Here is a 26,491-nt window from a genome sequence, read left to right as displayed (position 1 = left end):
CTCCATTTGCCACCTGATTACACATGAGAATGGCATCTTTACTCACCAGAAAGCCAGTATTATAGGAGGTGTAGGAGGCATTCTTGGACTTGAGACAAGAACATTGTTGTGTAGAAATTTCATTGACTGTGTTAAAATTATTCTCCATGGGCTGGAGAACACATAACATGGCCTTTAGAATGAGACGGGCATTGATTGGATGCAAGGTCTCCACACTTACTAGCTGTGTGACATTGGACAGAGTGCTTCATCATTCCGAGACTCAGTTTTTAAAGGAAAAACAACTAACTACCTTGCAAGCTTGCTAGCAGGTTTAAGTGTAATAATGTGTGGGAATGACTGCACCGTGACTAACATGCAGTGACAGCTTAATTAATGTTAACCCTTATCATTATCATATAAGAATGTGAGTTACATAAGAGAGGAGTCCTGTCAGTTCGTTCTCTGCTGTGTCCCCAAGACCATGAATCATGGCTGGCATGTAGTAGGCATTTAATAATATATGTTCAACAAGTATTTGGCAGTCTTGGAGGGCAGAAAAGGAGGTGGGGAAGATTTTTAAATAACATTCTTTAAAAAGTCACATTGTCCTACAATACCGATTTTTCTTGCATATTTAGGAAATTGAGGGTTTTTTTCTAAAACATGCGGACATATGGGAAATAGGATGCAACATTTGCACTAATGTTTCAGACACAGTTAGAGGTTTCCAAGAGATTTTGCGCTGGGGAGGCTGCTTGCTACAAGCTCCCAAAGCTCTGGGAGGACATAGTATTCATTCCTCCCTCAGCAGAAGCGGTGAGGCAAGAAGCTCTGGGGAGCACCCAGCGTTGGACTTTTAGCATAGTGTGTCAGGTCTTCATAGTTTGGGCCCAGGGCACAGAGAAGTCACAGCTCTCCGGCATCCTGTGACCTTTACCCTCTTTGCCAAGGGAAAATGTGGCCCACCAAAGCAAGAAACTTGAGGGCATGGGTCACCCCAGCCCTGGCATCTGCCCAGAGCCCGAGAAGGAAGGAACAATGATCCTCCAGCTACCTCACGGGGCTGGCACAGGTGACCACTGCCCTGGCATCACCCAGCTGTGTCCGGCAGCCTGAACCCCATCTGTGGGGATGCGAGGAGGAAAATACAAAAGTCCTTAGGTGAACACTGAGAAGGCAGATGCAGCAGAAACCTCCAGGCCAGAACTACCCAGTCTTGGACCTATGGTGGAGATAGAGCATAGCTGGCGATCATGTGTACTTACACTCTAAGGTCACCTGGTTGCACTATGGCCTCATCTGTGGCTCTGAAAATGAAGATTTGGAAGGAGATCATCACAGCTAATGTTTAACAAGCCCCTCCTGTGTGCCAAATCATTCACCCCTCACCACAACCGAATGAGCTAAGGATTCTCATTATATATAGTTTATGGAGAGGGAAGTGCAGACATAAAGAGGTGAATTATCTTACCCAGATCACACAGCTGATAAGTGGTGGAGGCAGAATAGAATCTAAACAGTGTGGCTCCGGAGCCCACATGCATTGATTCGACAAGTGTTTATTGAGCACCTGCCGCGGACAAGGCCTTGTGTGATTAAATAGGGTTATAATTAGTAATATAAAAATGAGAAATCACTAATGCTTTTTAGACTTAACATTTTGTTTTTTTGTAGGTTTCAGGCACAGAACTGTATATCCAATAATAGTGAAATGGATCCCACTAATTATGACAGAAATGATGATACATTTAAATGACTTGGATGTTTTATAGGTATGATCTCGTGAAATCTTGAGAGAAACTGAATGACGAATGAAACTATTGTTCCTGTTTCACACAGAAGAAAACTGAGGTTAAAAGGGGTAAAGTAATTTTGCATGGCATGAAGTAGAAATTCAAAGTACAGGAATTTGAACTTGGTTCTGTCCTTTTCTGAAGCCCTTGACCACTATAGACTCAAACATCACCTTGTTTTTCCACTCATTCAACACTTTTTTTTTTAAATTATCTAATAGGTTGGCACTCATCATGAGCCCCTGTTCTCATTCTGCAAATGGTGAAGCTCTCTATTGTCCTGACCCCACAGTTCCTGTCCCATGACCAGGGCCAGCTCACCAAGGAGCTGCAGCAGCATGTAAAGTCAGTGACATGCCCATGCGAGTACCTGAGGAAGGTGAGTGAGTGCAGACAGATGGGGCCTGGTGCCCTTGAGCAGTTCCCGGGTCTCAGCTGCCACACATCTCATAGCCGGTGATGCTGGGGGAAGCTTACGCAGTCACAGTACTGGCTTCTTCCTCTTTTTCTTTCCATACAAGTGGCTTAGGGATGGGGTAGAGTAGTTGACTTATTTGGATGAAAACCACTATCTTCTGTCAGAAACTCAAAAGGAATCATTGCTGGCATGGTAACCTAAAGAAAAACAACCAGACAAGTGCCCAACGACACTTAAAAAGGTGATTTATTATCTTGCCAAGTTTAGGCTGGGCATGGTGACTCATGCCTCTAATCCCAGCATTTTGGGAGGCTGAGGCTGGTGGATCACCGGAGGCCAGGACTTTGAGACCAGCCTGACCAATATGGCAAAACCTCGTCCCTACTAAAAATACAAAAATTAGCCGGGCATGGTGGTGTGAGCCTGTAGTCCCAGCTACTCAGGAGGCTGAGACAGGAGAATTGCTTAGATTCAGGAGGTGGGGGTTTTAGTGGGCCGAGATCACGCCATTGCACTCCAGACTGTGCGACAGAGCGAGACTCTGTCAAAAAAAAAAAAAAAAAATTATCCTGCAAAATTTGAAAAGGAAATTCAAATCAACAGCTTCTAAACTACTTTTTAACATGACTCATAATAATACATTCTATAGTACATATGTATGTTCTATAACTTTGAATAAAAGAGTTAACCACATCACATTTATTTTATAACATGTAATACATATTTTTTATTCTCCTTCATTTGTTTTGAATGCTCTGTGCAGTCTACAAAAAGTCCAATAGTAATAATTAAATTAGTCATTAAGTTGAACATTATCTTGTCTTTTAAAATGATAATCTCAAAAATGATCTTTTATTTTTGAGATTTATATAGATACACACACACACACACACACACACACACACACACACACACACACACACACACACACACATATTTTTTGAGACAGAGTTTCACTCTGTCCCCCAGGCTGGAGTGCAATGGCACAATCTTGGCTCACTGCAACCTCTGTCTCCCGGGTTCAAGCAATTCCTCTGCCTCAGCCTCTGAGTAGCTGGGACTACAGGTGTGTGCCACCATGCCCAGCTAATTTTTGTATTCTTAGTAGAGATGGGGTTTCACCATATTGGCCAGGCTCGTGTCAACTCCTGACCTCGTGATCTGCCCACCGCGGCCTCCCAAAGTGCTGGGACTATAGGTGTGAGCCGCTGCACCCGGTCCAAGTAAAATTATTTTAACAATATACTATGAAGAGAAAAACACTGGCTATGAAAGAATATGCATAGTTTTACCCTGTTTAAAAATAAAGATTGAAAGAATACATATGCAAATAAGTTTACTTTTATTTTTGGTAACACTTTACTGCATTGTCTGAATATTGACAATCAGTATGCATTATGAAGCTACCTGGCTAACATTGTGTACTCACTGTGTGTGCCAGGCCCTGGGTTCAATGCTCTACATGCACTTATATTTCATTTAATTCTCTCTGCAACCTGAGATGGTATAGCCACCTCATTTTACAGAGTTGAAACTGAGGCTCAGAGACTGAAAGTTAAGCCTGAGGTTGCAGTCAATAAGAGGCAGAGCTGGAACTGAAACCTACCTGTGTCTGACCACCAGTTCGTGTTCTGACGGCAGGCTAGTCTGCATCACAGAGTGTGGAGTAGATGGTGCATGCCTGCTAGGATGGGCTAGGTATCACTGTAGGTAAGAAACAGCCCCAAACTATGGAAATGTACACCACTGAAGGCTCTTTTCCTGCCCATGCTGCACATCCTCCATGGCTCTCCTGTGCCCTGTGCCCCACATGCCCTCATCCTGCCACGAGAATAAAGGAGCAGCCTCCATATGGGAGCTGTCAGCTGCTCTAAGAGATGAAGGAGAGAGTGGCCCGTCTCAATGGCTCCCAACTCTTTTGCCTCGAGGTGACACGCTTCACTTCCACGCACATCTCCTGGGTCAAAGCAAATCCCATGGGTACATCCACTTTCAAGTGGCCCAGGAGAGAACCTGAAATACTCGGTGGACTCCATTAAGGCCGTCATATGGTGTCAGCCTGCATGGGAGACTGTGGAGGGGCAGAGGAGGAGAGTGGGGAACTGATGGGAAATGACAGGAGGACTAAGTCACCGCAGATTTGCTTTATCTTCAGCCAGGTGGAGTTTGTCCCAGAGCCGCACAAAATCATCACCAGCATGATTAAACGGAGTAGACTTCAGAAAAAGCAGTTTGGTCGGATGTAATCAGCAGTGAACTCAGAATCAATTGAGTGACATTGAGTCAGTAAATCTCTGACTGCCTCAGTTACCCCATATGATAGTTTTGAGGATGGGAACATTGAGAGAGTTGATTTGGAAGGATATCAAGAGTAAAAATTCCAACATTTTTAGTTCCTTTAAGTTAAATCCAGGCACTGTCTTTCCTGCAAGTCTCCTGTTCCTTTCAGATTGCACAGGTGAGAGTGCTCAGATTAGGGCTGGAGGTTGTAAACCATTGCTCCCACACTGACAGTGCCCCCGTGTCGTGCGTGTATTCTGCGCATTTTCCTGTGCTAAACACTCTCCCAAAACATCGTGGGGCCTGATTCTTCCTCTTTGTTCCAATGGCCCTGGGTGACTCAAGTGCCCATTCAATGACCAGGACACAGAGGTCTTAGAGAGATGCTCCTTGAGGCCCCAGGTGCGAGCCTGTACCCTGCCGGAGCATGAGGCAAGGGACAGGGCATCGTCTGTGGGGATAGTGGGGGTAGTGGGGGTAGTGGTCAGCCAGATTTGGTGACTCTACTTGCTCACCAGACGATCCTACACCTGCCACCTCCGATGGATCCACTGCCTCTGTGCCTGCCTGTACTGCTGATGCTCCAGTGGATAACTCAGCATCCCAGCCTAGGCCCAATGCCACTGAAGATGGACCTGCCCCCTGGGGACCCAGGAGTCCTACCACTCAGCTGTCCCCAGGAGTGCCCAGACCCTCATTCTTATCCAGGACCTAGGAGCCCTACCCCTGGCCTTCCCTCATCAGCCGTAAATGATGATTTACTGCTGTTACCATCATCACTGCCTTCAGTGACCAAGGGCCTTCCAAGGTGCCAGCTCTGGAACGAAGGATGCCCTTGGGAGGTGATGACACTCAGGTACACGGGTGCTCAACAGATTGCTTCCTCCTATCCTCAGACGGTCTTTGCATGCATGCAGCCATTGGCACTCCCATTGTGTGGAAGGAAACCAGCCCAGGGTCACACAGCTGGTCAGCAGCAACATAGCTGGTCTCAAATCTAAGGTGCCTGACCATGCCTCCATGAGGGACCGCCTCCAAGGGAGGTTGATCCTGGCTTTGGGGAGCCTTTCCTGGGCTGCACGAATAACCTCCATTGTTCGAGACCCCAAACTCTGCTCACATCTTCCTTTCCCTATCTCTGCTTGGGCTATGATCACGGTGACTCTAGCAGCCCTTCATGGACATTATAGTACTCTCTGCCATTCACTTTTGCTCTAATCTGACTTCAACCCCCACTTACTTGGTCTCTCCTTTTACAACCACCACAACCGAAATCTAGGGCTGCTTTTTTTTTTTTTTTTTTTTGAGACAGAGTCTCATTCCATTCTGTCACCCAGGCTGGAGTGCAATGGTACGATCTCGGCTCACTGCAACCTCCGCCTCCCGGGTCCAAGGGATTGTCCTGCCTCAGCCTCCTGAGTAGCTGGGATTACAGGCGTGTGCCACCATGCCTGGCTAATTTTTGTATTTTTAGTAGAGACGGGGTTTCACCATGTTGGTCAGGCTGGTCTCGAACTCCTAACCTCGTGATCCGCCTGCCTCAGCCTCCCAAAGTGCTGGGATTACAGGCGTGAGCCACCATGCCCAGCCAAATCTAGGGCAGGAACATGGCTGCAGCATATAAAAAGAATTGAATTCCATACTTTTGTTAACCCTGTTTTTTGTTTGTTTGTAGTTGTTGCTGTTTTTGAGACAGAGTCTCGCTCTGTCGCCTAGGCTGGAGTGCAGTGGTGCAATCTCGGCTCACTGCAGACTCTGCCTCCCGGGTTCAAACTATTCTCCTGCCTCAGCCTCCCAAGTAGGTGGGACTACAGGCGCCCACCACCACACCCGGCTAATTTTTGTATTTTATTAGAGACAGGGTTTCACCATATTGGCCAGGCTGGTCTGGAACTCCTGACCTTGTGATCCGCCCACCTCGGCCTCCCAAAGTGCTGGGATTACAGGCGTGAGCCACCACACCCAGCCCCTGTTTTGTTTTTGTTTTGCTTGCTTCTTAGGGTTGTTTTTCTATTTATGGTAAAGGCATTGGCTTTCCATTTGTAGCATCAATAGAATATTTCCTGTTTACAATAACCTTATGTCATAGTAAATGGTAAAGGGATTTAAAGCAGTGGTTTTCAGCTGCCAGAGGCCTGAGAGAGTTTGGGCATACTCTGTGTGATCGGGCAGAAGGCCTGTGGGAAGTTTAGCAGAGGACAGGGCCAGGAAAGGTGATGGACAGTGGGGGTCTGTCCTGGTCACCAGGCCCCTGGGTCCTGCCCACCTGCTTGGAGCTCCCCACCCATCACACATGATGCTGCCAAGCCCTCTGGGTATTGTGGGCAAATACCTTAGGAGAGAAGCTGATGAACTTTGTTTCTTGAAATGCACAGATTCCTTGGACGTCCCTGAGAGCTCAGTCATGAAAGTCAACTTGGTTTTCTCCCCCTCATTTGGGTTCAGAATTTAAAGTCCACACACACAGGCAGTAAGATGATATAGATAAGGACGTCATCACTCGGTTTCGGATGTTAAAATGTCTAGGTGGGTTAGCGGTGATTTGAGATCACACAACCTTGTGCCACAAAGAGGAATTCCCAGGCCAGAGGGAGACATTTTATTGCCATGTTATGATCTCATCATTGAGTTGAAAGGCAATCTTGTTTCATTTTGGATTCTTTCTTATGTTTATGTCTTATAAGGGCACTTTGAATTTCCAAGCAAATAATAATTTTGAATTAGCTTTTAATCATTGACTTCTAGCACAGTTATATGATCAGAAACATGCTGTGTGATTTGATTGCTCTCAAATATATTGAGATTTGCTGGAACAAAATAAGTCAGGTTAATTTTTGTAAATGTACCAGGCATGCTTAAAATGAATGTATCTACATTTGTTCCCGAGATACAGGTTGATGGACGGATGGCTACATGGATGTGATGGAGATGGTTTACTATCGGGACCTTCCGCACCCTGCTGATGTTTTGTTGCTTAGGATATGAATGGCTGAGCGGAGGCTGTAAAACCTGGCACTCTGCTTGGGTATGAGGTTCTTCCTGCCATCCTGCCATCATTTGTTTTTTATGTTTTGTCGCCATAAGTGACCTTGAGGAACCCTGGGAGCTCAGGAAGGAAGGAGCGCCCAGAAGCAGGGACAGGGAGCTGGTTGGGGAGGACCAGAAATCAGGTTTGTGAAGGTTCCAGAGAGGACCTGTCTTTGGGAGGAGTGTGGGAGACTGAGATGGGGGAGGGGTCATTGGAATGATGCGGGCGCTACTTGGCATTGTCCATTGTGAGGCACTGTCCATTGTGAGGCACCACCGGGGTCATCAGGGATTGGTGGAGAGGGAGTATAAAGCCCCAGGGTTGGTAAGGGAGGGCCCAGACCGAAGAAGGTTTGGTGGATAGCAGAACCTTTTTGTCTCCCTCTGATTGCTCCTAAGCCTCACGCTCCCTTGCCCCGCGTGTCCTGTTGCTTCCCTGATCTTCTCCGTGACCTGTAGCTAAACCTTCCACCAGCGCTTGAGAACTTAATTTGAACCGGATCCTTTCCCAGACCCCTTTCTTCTTCTCCTCCTCCTCCTCCACCTCCTCCAGGTGCCCAACAGCCCCCTTCTCCTCCTTTCCCTTCCCTTACTTCCCCCCTTCCCCTCCCCTTCCCCTCCCCCTCCCCTCCCCCTCCCCTCCCCCTCCCCTCCCCAACTCAGATCCGGCCCCGGTCCCCGTCCCCTTCCCTCCCCCCTGCCCTAAGCCACCTCCACCTCTGTCCTGGCCGCCTCAGGGCGCCCTGAAAGGACCAGGACATGCGGGTGCGGTGGATGCTCTTTTGGCTCCTCTTTGGGCTCCTACTGGAATTTATCAGCCATCAGTGCATCTCTGTGAGTAGACGCTGGACCCGTGGGGTTTCTTCCTTTTTACTGGGCTGTATCACGTGGCATGAAATTACACAGCTCAGGCCTGTAATCCCAGCACTTTAGGGGGCCGAGGTGGGCAGATCACTTGAGTCCAGGAGTTGAAGACTAGCCAGGGCATCATAGCGAAACCCCATCTCTACAAAAAATTCCAATAAAGATTAGTCGGGCCTGGTGGTGCGTACCTGTTATCCCAGTTACTGGAGAGGCTGAGGTGGGAGGATCGCTTGGGCCCAGGAGCTGGACGTTGCAGTGAGCCGAGATGGCCCCGCTGCACTCTTGTTTTTAACAAAGAAAATGGACCAAAACAAAGTGAAATGTCATTTGATTTGTGTCATCTGGTTTGATGACTTTTTTTTTTTTTTTTTTTTTTTTAGACAGAGTCTCACTCTGTCGCCCAGGCTGGAGTGCAGTGGCAAGATCTCGGCTCACTGCAACCTCCGCTTCTGGGGTTCAAGCAATTGTCCTGCCTCAGCCTCCTGAGTAGCTCAGATTACAACGCCTGGCTAATTTTTGTATTTTTAGTAGACCACCACGCCTGGCTAATTTTTGTGTTTTTAGTAGAGATGGGGTTTCACCATGTTCGCCAGGATAGTCTCCATCTCTTGACCTCGTGATCTGCCTGCCTCAGCCTCCCAGTGCTGGGATTACAGGCGTGAGCCACCGCGCCTGGCCAAAATATATAACCTTAAGTGTAAGTTTACTAACTTTGGAAAGTACATACACCAGCATAAACCAACCCCCTTTCAAGATCTACATTATTTTATTTATTTATTTATTTATTTTGAGACAGTTTCTCCCTTGTTGCCCAGGCTGGAGTGCAATGGGGCAATATCAGCTCACCGCAACCTCTGCTTCCCAGGTTCGAGCGATTCTCCTGCCTCAGCCTCCCGAGTGGCTGGGATTACAGACATGTGGCACCACTCCCAGCTAATTTTGTATTTTTAGTAGAGATAGGGTTTCTCCATGTTGGTCAGGCTGGTTTTGAACTCCCGACCTCAGGTGATCCGCCCGCCTCGGCCTCCCAAAGCGTTGGGATTACAGGCGTGAACCACCATGCCCAGCCAAGATCTACACTATTATGTCACCCCAGAAAGTGAACTCTCAGTCTTCCCAGCCAGTCTCTTTCTTATCATAGGTTAGCTTGCTTATTCTGGAATTTCGCGTATACAGATGCATGCCATGCCATAGGTACTCTTTTGTGTCTGCTTTGTTCTGCTCAACACCATGTTTCTGAAATCATTACCATTGTTGTATGGTTCTCTAACTTCATCATTTCCATTTCAGACTCAGCATATGCTGAGTTCAACCTGTTGAAGGGCTATCTCTGTTTAATTCACCATCTTGAAAGAAACATTTAAAATTGAGATGTTTTCAAGAATATATAGTTAAATCCTGAGGAATCGACGTAGAAATGTTATCACAAGCTGTCTGAACTTACTCAGGGGAAGTCTTCGTCTTCACTCACATAAGAGTCTAATGGAATTAATATCAACAATCTTAGAGAAATCCCACACTATTCATGCCATTTTCATGATCTCCACCTTGATAATTTTTTTTTTTTTTTTTTTTTTTTTTTTTTTTTTTTTTTTTTTTTTTGAGACAGAGTCTCGCTCTGTCACCCAGGCTGAAGTGCAGTGGTGCGATCTCGGCTCACTGCAACCTCTGCCTCCCGGGTTCAAGTGATTCTTCTGCCTCAGCCTCCCAAGTAGCTGGAACTATAGGCATGTGCCACCATGCCCTGCTAATTTTTTGTATTTTTAGTAGAGACGGGTTTCACCGTGTTAGCTAGGATGGTCTCAATCTCCTGATCTCGTGGTCCACCCACCTCGGCTTCCCAAAGTGCTGGGATTGCAGGCGTGAGCCACCACGCCCAGCCCACCTTGTTAATTTTTAAGCACTAAAATTTGATACTTATTTGTGAATGAAGTAATCTCTTCATTGTATTTTTTTTTTTTTTTACTTATGCTGAGATTTAAATGACAAAGATTCATATAATCCAAGAGAGAAGTATTATTTAGAGGGATTCTTTTACCATGTGATATATAATAAATGCATCCAATGTTATACATCAATTTAAAAAACAAGTAAATAACTTTAAAGAAAAGATAACTACTGGCCAGGTGCAGTGGCTCACACCTGTATTCCCAGCACTTTGGGAGGCCAAGGCAGGTGGATCATGAGGTCAGGAGTTGGAGACCAGCCTGGCCAAGATGGTGAAACCCTGTTTCTACTAAAAATACAAAAATTAGCCGAGCGTGGTGGCAGGCGCCTGTAATCCCAGTTACTCAGTAGCTGAGGCAGGAGAATCGCTTGAACCCGGGAGGCGGAGGTTGCAGTGAGTTGAGATCATGCCACTGCAATCTAGCCTGGGTGACAGAGCAAAACTTTGTCTCAAAACAAAAAGAAAAGAAAAGATAAGATAATTACTTTATACTTAGCTTGTCTTACCCATGAGTGACGGGCTGCATGTGGCCCAGGACAGTTTTGAATGCAGTTCAACACAAATTTGTAAACTTTCTTAAAACATTAGGAGATTTTGGCCAGGTACAGTGGCTCATGCGTGTAATCCCAGCACTTTGGGAGGCTGAGGCGGGCAGATTACCTGAGGTCAGGAGTTCGAGACCACCCTGACCAACATGGCAAAACCCCATCTCCACAAAAAATACAAAAATTTGCTGAGTGCACTGTCAGGCACCTGTACTCCCAGCTACTCAGGAGGCTGAGGCAGGAGAATCACTTGAACCTGAGAGGCAGAGGTTGCAGTGAGCCGGGAGCACACCACTGCACTCCAGCCTGGGTGACAGAGTGAGACCCCATCTCAAAAACAACAAACAAAAACAAAAACAAAAAAATGGCTGGGCACGGTGGCTCACACCTGTAATCCCAGCACTTTGGGAGGCCGAGGCAGGCAGATCGCCTGTCAGGAGTTCAAGGCCAGACTGGCCAACATGGTGAAACCTCATCTCTACTAAAAATACAAAAATGAGTCGGGCATGGTGGCAGAGACCTGTAATCTCAGCTACTCGGGAGGCTGAGGCAGGAGAATGGCTTGAGCCCAGGAGCTGGAGGTTGCAGTGAGCCGAGATTGCACCACTGCACTCCAGCCTGGGCGACTGAGTGGAGCGGAACTCTGTCTCAAAAAAAAAAAAGAGGTTTTTTTTAGATCATCAGCTATTGTTAGTGTTAGTGTATGTTATGTGTGGCTCAAGACAACTTTGCTTCTTTTAATATAGGCAGGGAAGTCAAAAGATTGGATATCCCTGCTTTATACCAAGAAAGACAACACCCCACATTTGCAATGCCTGAAAACACTACCAGCCATCTGAAAAACATGTGACTTCTAACTTCTGTTCTTTTTTGTAGCAGTGGAATCCCACGGTGATATCTGAGGGATGTGGTTACCTTTTGGAGGAGGTTGACGGTTTCTAAGGATGATTCTTTCTGAGTGAAATATTGTCAGTGTCATTGACCTTTTCATTATTTCAACTATTATTATTCCAGGTTATCAATACTCTGGCTGACCATCATCATCGTGGGACTGACTTTGGTGGAAGTCCTTGGTTACATGTCATTATTGCATTTCCGACAAGTTATAAAGTTGTCATTACCCTCTGGATAGTTTACCTTTGGGTGAGTATACTAACTTTCTGTAGAGGTATACTTGTAATCACAAATAAGAATAAATTATATAAAACAATTCACATTTCTGGACTTCATTATGAATATGTGGTTTTACCCAAAAAATCAGGGAAATGATTTATTAGTATAAGAATTATGAAAACATCTGCCATTTGCATTATGAAAATTAAATAGGTCGGTGTTTGTTTAATAGAATGTCAACAGAGCTTTTGGTCAAAAATAAGTTTTTTTAACCTTTGTGCTATTTATCACAAATGGAGTATGAGGTTTCGTCACTTAAATAGGAAATTCTTTCTAAACTCTTCTGCTTTATAGTTCTATCGTATGGGTGGAAGGAAAGCTTCCAATCTCCTCTCTGAAGATTCACTGCAGAAATGAGCTGACAACAGACAGCTTAACAGGAAAAGAAAAACATAGAACAGGCATAAACATGGGAACCAGCTGAAAAATGAGACTGCTAGAAGGGCCGGATGGCTGATGCTTAAAGAGCACCCTCTTCTGAGGGGAGAGGGAGATAGATGGAGATGTAGGCCATTTAGAGGGGCAGCAAATGATTTTTAGGGGAAATGAAAGAGGCCAAGGAACAAACAATTGGCCTGAGACAAAGTTCCTGTGAGGTCATAGGGACGAGGTGACAAACTGCCGGAAGGTGAAGGGCAGAACTGCACTGCGTCTCATGATGCAGAGAAAGCCCCAGAGACTCTTAGAACTGCCCTCCAAGAGAATCAATGAAAAGTGTGTCTGGGCAGGGTAATTTTGAATGACATCATTCAAAGTGCATGTTCCGACTTGGAACTGGAGAGAGATCAGTATGTCAAAAGTCTGTACTTGGTAAGAATTTGGCTGCTAAGTTGTGCCATAATTTGTCTTTTGAGCCTTTTTTCCTTTGGGTAAGTTGAGCTCTACATTTTGTCTTGCCATTCATGACAGTAAAAATGTGGTTGTCTGGGGGCTGAACCTCCTTCTGAACAATGATCCAAGATAAAAGTACTAATACCACAATGCTTTTTTATATTCAAGGGAAGAGGAAGTATGTTTCAGTTTTACCACCTAGATAATTACACGTCATTTGGCACTGCCTTTCAAGATATGTAGAAAACAGAAAATATATGAGTTATGAAGATATCTAGGCACATTTAACATTCTCTATGCCACTTAGTCCTGAACAGAGAATTTTCGGTATAAATTGGAGGAAGCTTTTTTCTTTTTTTTTTTTCTTTTCTCACCCCGAAGACGAGTCTCCTTCTGTTGCCCAGGCTGGAGTATAATGGTGTGACCTCGGCTCACTGCAACCTCCACCTCCTGGCTTCAAGTGATTCCCCTGCCTCAGCCTCTCAAGTAGCTGGGATTGCAGGTGCCCACCACCATGCCCAGCTAATTTTTGTATTTTTAGTAGAGTCGGGGTTTTACCATGTTGGCCAGGCTAGTCTCAAAACCCGACCTCAAATGATCCACCAACCTCAGCCTCCCAAAGTGCTGGGATTACAAGCGTGAGCCACCACGTGAGCCAGGGGAAGTTTTTAAATTTACCACTTTTTAACAATTCCACTTAGGAAAGTTCAGTTGAGCTGTTGGACTTGGACAACTTCGCACCTCTCATCTTTGTCCTTGTCATCTAGTCATCTATACCATTACCTCCTTAGCAGGGACATCATGGGTGCCATGAAGCATTCATGCGTGATGGCATTTCTTGGCTTCTCATTTCTTCATGTGTTTGACATTTCCCCTAGCTCCAAACTGGGCCAGCTACCTTTCCTATGAAATCTAGCAGTAGCTGTGGGATTGACGTGGTTGCTCTTTTCATCTTTTTAGATTACCCATTGCTTCTCTCGAAATCCTAGTACATGATTTTTTTTTTATCCTATGTGCAGAAATCAGGAAAAAACAAATTCTACAAAGAATTTGAAAGATATTATTTCAGGCCAGGTGTGGTGGCTCATGCCTGTAATCCCAGCACTTTGGGAGGCTGAAGCAGATGGATCATTTGAGGTCAGGAGTTCAAGACCAGATGGGCCAACATGGTGACACCCCATCTCTACTAAAAAGACAAAAATTAGCCAGGCATGGTAGCAGGCACCTGTAATCCCAGCTACTTGGGAGGCTGAGGCACAAGAATCGCTTGAATCTGGGAGGTGGAGGTTGCCGTGAGCCAAGGTAGCGCCACTGCACTTCAGCACGGTTGAGAGTGACACTCTGTCTCAAGAAAAAAGTCATTTCAATGACCACCTCAGGAGATTCATAGGTATCTGACCCACATCTGAGATGGGATTTGCATTGCATTTTAGCTATGATGAGAAGAAATATTTAATATCTTAGAAGATTAAAAGCATACTGTGATAATATGGAAATCTTGGTGGGAATTCAGTCATTAGTGAGAATGTTTTGCGTTAAGTTCAAACCAGCCTCAATGAAGCTGATGTGAGGGAAGGGAAAGTGAACTCTGAGTAGAGCAGGGACAGAAGGAAGATGCTCCAGTGCAGATCAGGAAGGAGCAGGGGATGAAATGTTACAAATTCTAGAACTCAGAGAGCTGAAGGTAATTACTTCCTTTTCAAGTTGTGAAACATGTTAACCTGTGGTAAAATACTTATAAGATGATAATTACCATCTAACCGTGTTGAAGTGTACAGTTCAGTTGTGTGAAGTATATTCATGTCATTTTTTTTTTTTTTTTTTTTTTTGAGACGAAGTCTCACTCTGTCACCAGGCTGGAGTGCAGTGGTGGGATCTTGGCTCACTGCAACCTCTGCCTCCTGGGTTCAAGCAGTTCTCCTGCCTCAGCCTCCCGAGTAGCTGGGACTACAGGCGTGCATCACCATGCTCAGCTAATTTTTGTATTTTTAGTAGAGACGGGGTTTCACCATGTTGCCCAGGATGGTCTCCATCTCTTGACCTTGTGATTCACCCGCCTCGGCCTCCCAAAGTGCTGGGATTACAGGCGTGAGCTACCGCATCTGGCCTATTTTTTTTTTTTTTTTTTTTTTTTTTTTTTTGAGACAGAGTTTCAATTTTGTTGCCCAGGTTGGAGTGCAATGGCACAATCTCAGCTCACCACAAGCTTTTCCTGCTGGGTTCAAGTGATTCTCCTGCCTCAGCCTCCCGACTAGCTGGGATTACAGGCATGCACCACCATGCCTGGCTAATTTTGTATTTTTAGCAGAGACAGCGTTTCTCCATGTTGGTGAGGCTGGTCTCAAACTCCCGACCTCAGGTGATCCGCCTGCCTCGGCCTCCCAAAGTGCTGGGATTACAGGAGTGAGCCACCGTGCCAGCCTCATGTCATTCTTGTGTGTGTGTGTGTGTATGTGACAGAGTCTCATTCTGTCGCTCAGGCTGGAGTGCAGTGGTGTGATCTCGGCTCACTGCAACCTCCGCCTCCCAGCTTCAAACGGTTCTCTGCCTCAGCCTCCCGAGTAGCTTGGATTACAGGCGCCCGCTGCCATGCCCGGCTAATTTTTGTATTTTTAGTAGAGACGGGGTTTCACCATCTTGGCCAGGCTGGTCTTGAACTCCTGACCCCGTGATCCACCTGCCTCGGCCTCCCGAAGTACTGGGATTATACGCATGAGCCACCGTGCCCAGCCGTCATTCTTATATTATTATTTCCTAGGTGTCTCTCCTGAAGACTATCTTCTGGTCTCGAAATGGACATGATGGATCCACGGATGTACAGCAGAGAGCCTGGAGGTCCAACCGCCGTAGACAGGAAGGTATGGCTCTGTTGGAATCCGCATAGTGTGGAAATGAGTTTGCCCTGGAAAGGGAAAGAACAGCTTCTTGCCCTCAGGTTTCTCACCTTCTCTTCTCCTCACTCTCACCAAGGGCTGAGGTCCATTTGTATGCACACAAAGAAAAGAGTTTCTTCCTTTCGAGGAAATAAAATTGTCCTGAAAGACGTCATTACTCTACGGAGACATGTGGAAACAAAAGTTAGAGCTAAAATCCGTAAGAGGAAGGTGACAACGAAAATCAACCATCATGACAAAATCAATGGAAAGAGGAAGACCGCCAGAAAACAGTAAGATGTGCCTTGACACAAATACTGTTGTATGAACCATGTGCCAATCAAAGTAGACAACTGTAAAGTCCTTGAGAATATTTTCTACAATATTTGTGGCAAATTCAGTGGGTTCAAAATTGAGTTTGTCCTTTCTGCTTCATTAGTTTAAGCTGTATAATTCCTTTCCCTTCCTACATTCTTGTTTTCATTTTTTCGGAGGAAGAGGAGTTGCTAGTACTGGCATTGGTTTTCCTTTCTCTTTTTTTTTTTTTTTTTTTCCTGAGATGGAGCTTTGCTGTTGTTGCCCAGGCTGTAGTGCAATGGCACAATCTCAGCTCACTGCCTTTTGGGTTCAAGCAATTCTCCTGCCTCAGCCTCCCAAGTAGCTGGGATTACAGGTGCCCACCACCACGCCCAGCTAATTTTTGTATTTTTACTAGAGATGGGGTTTCACCATGTTGTCCAGGCTGGTCTCGAACTTCTGACCTCAGGTAATCCACCTGCCTCAGCCTCCCAAAGTGCTGGGATTAGAGGCGTGAGCCACCACAGCCAGCCTTTTTTTTTTTTTTTTTTTTTTTTAATTTTGCGATAGAGTCTCGCTCTGTCGCCCAGGCTGGAGTGCTATGGTGCAATCTTGGCTCACTGCAACCTCTGCCTCCCAGTTTGAAGCAATTCTGCCTCAGCTTCCCGAGTAGCTTGGATTACAGGTGTGTGCCACCACATTTGACCAATTTTTTTTTTTTTTTTTTTTTTTGAGACAGAGTCTCACTCTGTCACCCAGGCTAGAGTGCAGTGGCATGATCTTGGCTCACTGCAACCTCCACCTCCCAGGTTCAAGCGATTCTTATCCCTCAGCCTCTTGAGTAGCTGGGACTACAGGCATATGCCACCATGCCCGGATAATTTTTGTATTTTTAGTAGAGGCGGGGTTTCACCATATTGGCCAAGCTGGTCTAGAACTCCTGACATGATCCGCACACCTCGGCCTCCCAATGTGCTGGGATTACAGGCGTGAGCCACCGTGCCCGGCCCAATTTTTGTATTTTTAGTAGAGACAGGGGTTCACCATGTTGGCCAGGCTAGTCTTGAACTCCTGACCTCAGGTGATCTGCCTACCTCAGCCTCCCAGTGTGAGCCACCGCACCCAGCCTGGATTGTTGAATTCAATGCTTGGGTCACCTCCAGATTCATTTTCACAGTCTTTCATGTTTTGGTCATATGACATTGTATTTTGCTGCCATATGACTGATCTTTTTTTGTTAAATGTGAGATACTTGTTAAAAAATGTTTAGCAATGAATTGAGGCCTAGTAGCATGTTATCTTGCTGCAGAAGAGATGGGAGTCTACTTCTGGGGGATGGTCAGGGGTCCTCCATACAAGCTGCAATTGAAGTCGTCGGTGCAGGCTCAGTCCCTACAAAGGCCAGGGTATTTCCTGTCCACCTTTATTCTGATGCATGACTCTTCTGGGTCTCAACCAGAGCCAGCGGACTTCAGTATGGGTCGCTTTCATTGGCAGACCCTCAATCCACTTGTTTTCCATCTAATCCCACGCATGTGTGCAAAAGCTGCTGTGCTTCTTTGCATCTCAGTAGTTCCTTCTGGAATTCAGCAATGAAACTCAGGGAAATGGGTTCCAAATGCGAGGCTGACTTTCGTCCTGGGTTTCCTTCTTCTCCATCTTCACCTCATGTCTGTTTACTGCCATGTTAGCAATTTGATGTATTCAATCATGGGTTTTATATTCTGTTTGGTGTCCCCCATTGTTCTCATTGGAGATCAGAAGCTTCAGATGCACTTATGTCAACTCAAGAGTAGAATGCTTCCTTAGCTTCCCTCCAGAGTCAGGTTTTGTGTTTCTAGTTCCCAAGTGCACAGCAGGAGTAGTGATGTCCTCACTGGCTTCTCATTTGCATTAAGCTGTGAGCTTCTTTAGCGTGGGGACAGGACCCTGCTCCCATTGCATTCTCAGCACCACACCACACACTCCTTGTTTGAGGCCACTCCAGACAGCATGTGCTGAAGGATGCCTTGTGGTCAGAAACAAGTTCATTAACTTTCTCTTTGAAGTGTTTTCGCCCCTGTTTCCTAGCGTTCTGGGAATTTTACACATCCTTCCTATAAAGCCAAGTATCAGGTGAGATCCTTAGGATCAGGACCATGAATCAAGTGGTGTGAGGGCAACACAGCAAACTTACCCTTTTTAGGCCGTTTCCTTTTTCTGCCCTCAATCTCTGTGAACTGAACCTTGTTAAAGTCAGTCAACACCAGGGTGGATGGTTTGCCGTTGTCACCTATTTTCAGGACATAACACCCTGACTTAGGAGCCATTCCGATCATTTCTAATTCAATAGATGCGCCCAGCATTCAGATTGCCTTTTCTCTCAACCAGGATCTTTAAAGTTGATGACAAGAGTTCCAGTCCTGAATCATGGCAAAGTGCAGTAGTGAACTGCGGGGTTATTCTGGAAGGATCTCTCTATGGCTGATGGTCTCAGTTCCGGCATCAGCCTCTGACTGAGAATCAGGTCTCACACAGGAGGAGTCAGATGAGGAGCAATCCTCTGCTTCCGATGGAGTTAGTTGTGATGAATTGGTGAGGTCTGGTTTTTCACACTGAACTAAAATGAGCTTTCGCTGTGTCAAGCACAAGACTGACCCCAGAGACACACATAGTGCACCTCATAGAAGCTTTTAATAGTCTTTATATTTACTAAAGAATAGGACTAACTATGGAACTATGAAGATGAGCTGGAAATGACAGGTGACTTGCCAGCAGGCCAGAGTGTGACTTTTTTTTGTCCCTCAATGGGAGGTGTCAATTCTCCCTTCGGTTGTGAGAATCAGTTGGTTCATTTGTGGGAAGGTTGCAGGGGGGAATCTTTGAATCACAGCCTTCAGATGCCAGAAGGGCAGAGGGAATCCCACACGGGCTGGTGGATCATGTGTGTGCATTTCTCTCCCTTCTAATCTGAGGAAACTAAGCGTGAAAGAATGTGAGCATGCAGAAAAGGAGAGGCAGGTATCAGAGGCAGAGGAAAATGGGAAATTGGATATGAAAGAAATACACACCTACAAGTGAGTTCAGAAACTGTACCCCACCCTCTTGGGAAACGCCCATTGGAGTGTTGTTTTTAACCTTTGTACAGTATTTAGACCCAGTAAATGCAGAAATAGAAACAAACGGTCAGAAGACATATCGTGAGAGAGAGCGAGAGAGAGTTCACAAAACAGAAAACAAAGTACCTTAATATTTACCAGTGACCAAAAGATGTGAAGTAGCAAAACGTCTCCTGACCCCATTGCCAGCTAGACTGTGTGGAAACTCGGTTCATACCAGCCATTCTAGGGGTGGGGTGAGTTGTTGTCATCCTTAGGAAAGTGTGTTGTTGTAGGATCAACCACATCCTTCAAAAGGACTATGCCTGTTTATAAGCCCAGCTGTTTCTGCCCTGTGAAACACGGTAAGGATATTAATACAAAGAGAATACAGCTTTATGATAAAAGATGCTCAATGAAGGATGAATTAGGGATGTACTGAGAATGGGGAAGGAAACTATCATCTCAGAAGTCAGCAGGCAGTAAGCAAGAGGAGGAATCAATACAGCAACAGTTTGGATCAGACTGTACAGTTTTTTTGTTTTTGTTTTTGTTTTTCTGAGATGGAGTCTCGCTGTGTCACCCAGGCTGGAGTGCAATGACGTGATCTTGGCTCACTGCAACCTCCGCCTCCCAGGTTCAAGTGATTCCCCTGCCTCAGCCTCCCGAGTAGCTGGGATTACAGGTGCCTGCCACCACGCCTGGCTAATTTTTTGTATTTTTAGTAGAGAAGGGGTTTCACCATATTAGCCACAATGGTCTCAATCTCCTGACCTCGTGATCCATCCGCCCCGCCCTCCCAGAGTGCTGGGATTACAGGCGTCAGCCACCGTGACCGGCTCAGACTGTACTCTTCTAGCCATCTGAAATACGTTTTCTAGGTAGAGATAGATTGTGTAAGGGTACAGTTGTGAGGATAACAGAAACATGGCAGATTATTTAAAATCATCCTGAAAGTGGTGCTTTATCTGATGAAAGTGATTGTAATCCATAGGAAAATGTTTCAACGTGCGCAAGAGTTGCGGCGGCGAGCAGAGGACTACCACAAATGCAAAGTAAGGAGCTTCCTCCCTGCAGTTGCAGGATAGTTCAGTGCTGATGCAGATGATGCCACGGCCCTTAGACTCTCTCAACATTCAATTTCTCATGTGTTGGCTTTTTCAGATCCCCCCTTCTGCAAGAAAGGCTCTTTGCAACTGGGTAAGTTTGCTTGTTTTCCTTGCTTTTGGACATAGTCTGCCAGGTCAGGACATGGATACATTTTTCTCCCTACAGCTCTGTGCTCAAGCCCTGCAGAGGGAGATGGCAGAGAGAAAGGCTGCCTACAAGCATCACAGTCCCATCCCTGTTGGTAACCGTGTTGCGCAAAAACACCTTCATCCCCACCCAGTGGGGCCCCTGATCTAATATTCTAAGTGTCAGAGGTTCCGTATTTGTAATAGCAGATGGGCCCTGACTGTAAACTAGTGAAGAGTGAATGTAACTTATTACCCACAGGGACAATTCCAAATGAAGGCCTTAAATGATGCTCAGCTAAGCTGGTTCTTGTGTGGCCTCTGTACCTTCAAAAGCTGCCGAGTCCTATGATTACACGTGATGGGACTTGTACACTTGAAGTGAAACACAGTTTTAAAACTTGCTTTGTTTAGAATTCCCACCTCATTTTTCCATGGACAAAAGTATTCTTTATGTCCTAGTGCACTTACAATTTGGTATTACCTGGGAGTGAAAAGAAATATTACAGCCATGCCTAAGTGACTTCTTGAGGTGAGATTGTTCTGTCAGAAAACCCTCTCCCAGTTCCCCTGCAGCTCTTCAGGAATCCACATCTCTCCAGAGCTCTTTGTTCTCATGGGTGGCACCTCCAGAGTGAAGAAGATCCTTTGTCAAGAAGGGAAACAGAGGGGAAATGAGAGGGTCCTGCAGGCAGAGCTGGAATCAACTTCCACTCTGCCTCTTGCAAGCTGTGTGACCCTGGGCACAATTTCTCCTTCCTCTGGAAACCTCTGTTTTCTTAGATTTGGAGCAGGGTGGTCACACTGACCTTGCAGAGTTCTGAGAATCAGAGACAGAACATAAAAGGCCTGGAAAACATTCTCCAAAAAGAAGCTGCAACATGTGTGGACAGTGGGCTTTTCATGCCTCTCTTACTGTCTCTTACTGTCTGTTGACCTGGTGCAAGAAACATGCTCTGGTGATGGCTGTGAGGGAGGAATGAGGATAGACATAGACACTCCTGTGTCTCAAACATGCTTCTTTATTACTCTGTTATGACTCTGTCTTCCCTGGGGCAGGACCCCAGCCTGCCTACATTTGCAGACAGACACAGTGGCATGTGGAGACAACAGTGTGTCCCAATGACTTTCCTTTACCCTCCAGCTGTTGGCAGTACTCAGTGGAAGGGTGATATTATGACACTGATACTTCTATTTTGAAACCTGGAGGATGGAAAGGTGCAAAAATCTATCACCAGCAACAGAAGGTGCAGACTGTGTTGGTGGCGGTAATTTTGTCCATCAAATGAATATGTGTGAAAACATTCCCTCCTTTGGCCCTACAGGTCAGAATGGCGGCAGCGGAGCATCGTCATTCTTCAGGATTGCCCTACTGGCCCTACCTCACAGCTGAAACTTTAAAAAACAGGATGGGCCACCAGCCACCTCCTCCAACTCAACAACATTCTATAACTGATAACTCCCTGAGCCTCAAGACACCTCCCGAGTGTCTGCTCACTCCCCTTCCACCCTCAGCGGATGATAATCTCAAGACACCTCCCGAGTGTGTGCTCACTCCCCTTCCACCCTCAGCGGATGATAATCTCAAGACACCTCCCGAGTGTGTGCTCACTCCCCTTCCACCCTCAGCGGATGATAATCTCAAGACACCTCCTGAGTGTCTCCTCACTCCCCTTCCACCCTCAGCGGATGATAAACTCAAGACACCTCCCGAGTGTCTGCTCACTCCCCTTCCACCCTCAGCTCTACCCTCAGCTCCACCCTCAGCGGATGATAATCTCAAGACACGTGCCGAGTGTCTGCTCCATCCCCTTCCACCCTCAGCGGATGATAATCTCAAGACACCTTCCGAGCGTCAGCTCACTCCCCTTCCACCCTCAGCTCCACCCTCAGCAGATGATAATATCAAGACACCTGCCGAGCGTCTGCGGGGGCCGCTTCCACCCTCAGCGGATGATAATCTCAAGACACCTTCCGAGCGTCAGCTCACTCCCCTTCCACCCTCAGCTCCACCCTCAGCAGATGATAATATCAAGACACCTGCTGAGCGTCTGCGGGGGCCGCTTCCACCCTCAGCGGATGATAATCTCAAGACACCTTCCGAGCGTCAGCTCACTCCCCTTCCACCCTCAGCTCCACCCTCAGCAGATGATAATATCAAGACACCTGCCGAGCGTCTGCGGGGGCCGCTTCCACCCTCAGCGGATGATAATCTCAAGACACCTTCCGAGCGTCAGCTCACTCCCCTTCCACCCTCAGCTCCACCCTCAGCAGATGATAATATCAAGACACCTGCCGAGCGTCTGCGGGGGCCGCTTCCACCCTCAGCGGATGATAATCTCAAGACACCTTCCGAGCGTCAGCTCACTCCCCTTCCACCCTCAGCTCCACCCTCAGCAGATGATAATATCAAGACACCTGCCGAGCGTCTGCGGGGGCCGCTTCCACCCTCAGCGGATGATAATCTCAAGACACCTTCCGAGCGTCAGCTCACTCCCCTTCCACCCTCAGCTCCACCCTCAGCAGATGATAACATCAAGACACCTGCCTTCCACCCTCAGCGGATGATAATCTCAAGACACCTTCCGAGCGTCAGCTCACTCCCCTTCCACCCTCAGCTCCACCCTCAGCAGATGATAATATCAAGATACCTGCTGAGCGTCTGCGGATTCCGCTTCCACCATCAGCCGATGATAATCTCAAGACACCTTCCGAGCGTCAGCTCACTCCCCTTCCACCCTCAGCTCCACCCTCAGCAGATGATAATATCAAGACACCTGCCGAGCGTCTGCGGGGGCCGCTTCCACCCTCAGCGGATGATAATCTCAAGACACCTTCCGAGCGTCAGCTCACTCCCCTTCCACCCTCAGCTCCACCCTCAGCAGATGATAATATCAAGACACCTGCCGAGCGTCTGCGGGGGCCGCTTCCACCCTCAGCGGATGATAATCTCAAGACACCTTCCGAGCGTCAGCTCACTCCCCTTCCACCCTCAGCTCCACCCTCAGCAGATGATAATATCAAGACACCTGCCGAGCGTCTGCGGGGGCCGCTTCCACCCTCAGCGGATGATAATCTCAAGACACCTTCCGAGCGTCAGCTCACTCCCCTTCCACACTCAGCTCCACCCTCAGCAGATGATAATATCAAGACACCTGCCGAGCGTCTGCGGGGAGCGTCTGCGGGGGCCGCTTCCACCCTCAGCGGATGATAATCTCAAGACACCTTCCGAGCGTCAGCTCACTCCCCTTCCACCCTCAGCTCCACCCTCAGCAGATGATAATATCAAGACACCTGCCGAGCGTCTGCGGGGGCCGCTTCCACCCTCAGCGGATGATAATCTCAAGACACCTTCCGAGCGTCAGCTCACTCCCCTTCCACCCTCAGCTCCACCCTCAGCAGATGATAATATCAAGACACCTGCCGAGCGTCTGCGGGGGCCGCTTCCACCCTCAGCGGATGATAATCTCAAGACACCTTCCGAGCGTCAGCTCACTCCCCTTCCACCCTCAGCTCCACCCTCAGCAGATGATAATATCAAGACACCTGCCGAGCGTCTGCGGGGGCCGCTTCCACCCTCAGCGGATGATAATCTCAAGACACCTTCCGAGCGTCAGCTCACTCCCCTTCCACCCTCAGCTCCACCCTCAGCAGATGATAATATCAAGACACCTGCCGAGCGTCTGCGGGGGCCGCTTCCACCCTCAGCGGATGATAATCTCAAGACACCTTCCGAGCGTCAGCTCACTCCCCTTCCACCCTCAGCTCCACCCTCAGCAGATGATAATATCAAGACACCTGCCGAGCGTCTGCGGGGGCCGCTTCCACCCTCAGCGGATGATAATCTCAAGACACCTTCCGAGCGTCAGCTCACTCCCCTTCCACCCTCAGCTCCACCCTCAGCAGATGATAATATCAAGACACCTGCCGAGCGTCTGCGGGGGCCGCTTCCACCCTCAGCCGATGATAATCTCAAGACACCTCCCTTAGCTACTCAGGAGGCTGAGGCAGAAAAACCACGCAAACCCAAGAGGCAGAGGGCGGCTGAGATGGAACCACCTCCCGAACCCAAGAGGCGGAGGGTCGGTGACGTGGAACCGTCACGCAAACCCAAGAGGCGGAGGGCCGCTGACGTGGAACCATCATCACCCGAACCCAAGAGGCGGAGGGTCGGTGATGTGGAACCGTCACGCAAACCCAAGAGGCGGAGGGCCGCTGACGTGGAACCATCATCACCCGAACCCAAGAGGCGGAGGGTCGGTGACGTGGAACCGTCACGCAAACCCAAGAGGCGGAGGGCCGCTGACGTGGAACCATCATTACCCGAACCCAAGAGGCGGAGGTTGAGCTGAGAAGAGGCCAGTGCACTCAAGCCTGAGCAATAAGAATAAAACCGAGTAGAACAAAATAAAAAATTCAAAAAACAAAACAAAACCCACACTCCAAAAACTAACAAAGAATAAATAAATAATATAAAAATAAAATAAATACTGCAGTCCTTATGTTATTGCTTTGTTTCGATATCTGGTATGATTGCCTGAGGGACCTGAGGTTTTTAATCATAGGGGTTTTTTTTTAATCTTTAGAAGTGGTTGGTTATGTAAAATATTATTATTTTTTTTTTTGAGACTGGATTTTGCTGTGTCACCCAGGCTGGAGTGCAGTGGCTCGATCACAGCTCACTGCAGCCTCAACCTCCTGGGCTTCAAGCAATCCTCCTGCCTCAGCCTCCCAAGTAGCTGGGATCACAGATATGTGCCACCACGCCTGGCCAATGTTAAAAAATCCTTTAACTTTTTTGTAGAGATGCACTCCTGGACTCAAGCGATCCTCCTACTTGTCCCGACCACCAGCCCCTTTCTGATAAACAAACATTTACACTGTTTATTATCTGATGCCATTTCTATCTTCTTCCTTGTCGTCCAGACATCGAATAATTAGGTTTCTTCAGGGTTTTCTTTTTCAAGTGCTCAGTGTTAAAGATCACTCACATTAGGGCCAGACACCATGGCTCATGCCTGTAATCCCAGCACTTTGGGAGGCCGAGGCGGGCAGAGCACTTGAGGTGGGGAGTTTGAGACCAGCCCGGCCAACTTGGGGAAACCCCACCTCTACTGAAAAAAATACAAAAATTAGCTGGGCGTGATGGTGCATGTCTGTAGTCCTAGCCACTTGGGAGGCTGAGGCATGAGAATCGCTTGAACCCAGGAGGCAGAGGTTGTAGTGAGCCAAGATCACGTCAGCACACTCTAGCCTGGGTGACAGAGTGAGACTCTGACTCAAAAAATAAATAAAATAAATATCACTTACATGAGATATACCCAAGGGGTGGTCTACAGAGACTTGGAAGCAGTGGTTATTGCAACAGGGGCACGGAAGTCATCTGGCTATGCCAGGGTGCCCAGGGGATACTCGGGGTGGGTGGCATGGTGCTGCTGGGGACTCATCGCACAGGACGCTCTGATTGACGCACTGCCAGGAGTAGCGCTCTGTCTTGGGGCTGCAGCCGGCCTCCTCAGCTCGAGTGTAACATCAGTCGTGGCCATGGCAGCACCTGCGGATGTCACATGGGCAGGACAGCAGGTGGGTGAAGCTCTCTCCTGGCCCTCCTCTCTTGCCAGGACCATGGGTGACTGAAGACCCCCAGGGAGGCACAGCATCCTCTTATCTAAGATTTTTTTTTTTTTAAGAGACAGGGTCTTTAAAAAAGTCCTGCAGTCTGCAGTCGCCCAGGCTGGACTGCAGAGGCACAATCATAGCTCACGGCAGCCTTGAACTCCTGGGCTCAAGCGATCCTCCCACTTCAGTGTCCCAAGTAGCTGAGACTACAGGCACACGCCAGCATGTCCGGCTGGTTTTTTAGTTTGTATTTCCTTTGAGACAGCATATCTCTCTGTCGCTCAGGCTGGGGTGCAATGGCTCAATCAGCTCACTTTAGCCTTGAACTCCCGGGCTCAAGTGATACTGCCACCTCAACTTCCCAAGTATGCTACTACAGGAACACAAACTCCTTTTTTAAATTTTTTGTGGATATGGGGTCTCACTATGTTGCCTAGGCTGGTCTTGAACTCCCAGGCTCAAGCAGTCCTACCTCAGCCTCCCCAAATGCTGGGATTACAGGTGGGAGCTACTGTACGCCTGGCCTTAT

At 47.4% G+C, this 26,491-nt stretch overlaps 1 protein-coding gene and 1 long non-coding RNA gene across 16 annotated transcripts; one reads left to right on the top strand and one right to left on the bottom strand.

Moving 5' to 3' along the window:
* Positions 1 to 1,656: 1,656 nt before the first annotated feature.
* On the top strand, positions 1,657 to 24,831 carry NPIPB4 (nuclear pore complex interacting protein family member B4). Of its 15 annotated transcripts, none has more exons than NM_001384981.1 (9): positions 1,657 to 1,833; positions 1,997 to 2,154; positions 7,558 to 7,643; positions 11,872 to 12,000; positions 15,620 to 15,719; positions 15,832 to 16,027; positions 20,103 to 20,163; positions 20,273 to 20,308; positions 21,669 to 24,831. In NM_001384981.1, exons 2-9 carry the CDS (start codon positions 2,130 to 2,132, stop codon positions 24,693 to 24,695), a joined length of 3,660 nt encoding a protein of 1,219 aa, NP_001371910.1. In that variant the 5' UTR covers positions 1,657 to 1,833; positions 1,997 to 2,129; the 3' UTR covers positions 24,696 to 24,831. The 15 variants fall into 15 exon arrangements, with proteins under 15 accessions (NP_001371910.1, NP_001371911.1, NP_001371908.1 ...); NM_001384982.1 differs by lacking the exon at positions 7,558 to 7,643 and adding an exon at positions 7,367 to 7,498 and having other exon boundaries at positions 1,657 to 1,843; XM_024450286.2 differs by lacking the exons at positions 1,657 to 1,833; positions 7,558 to 7,643 and adding exons at positions 18,141 to 18,146; positions 18,986 to 19,087 and having other exon boundaries at positions 2,035 to 2,154; positions 15,883 to 16,027.
* Positions 1,993 to 25,782, bottom strand: LOC112268174 (uncharacterized). The gene is made up of 2 exons (XR_002957909.2): positions 25,654 to 25,782; positions 1,993 to 2,390 (listed from the first exon to the last, which is right to left on the bottom strand). It is a non-coding gene; the product is annotated as an uncharacterized LOC112268174 (long non-coding RNA).
* Positions 25,783 to 26,491: the final 709 nt, after the last annotated feature.

This window comes from Homo sapiens, chromosome 16, assembly GCF_000001405.40.
Source record: "Homo sapiens chromosome 16, GRCh38.p14 Primary Assembly".
NCBI classification, from domain to species: Eukaryota; Metazoa; Chordata; class Mammalia; order Primates; family Hominidae; genus Homo; species Homo sapiens.
The sequence above is the reverse complement of the archived record's forward strand: the minus strand, read 5'-3'. Positions and strand labels throughout refer to the sequence as shown.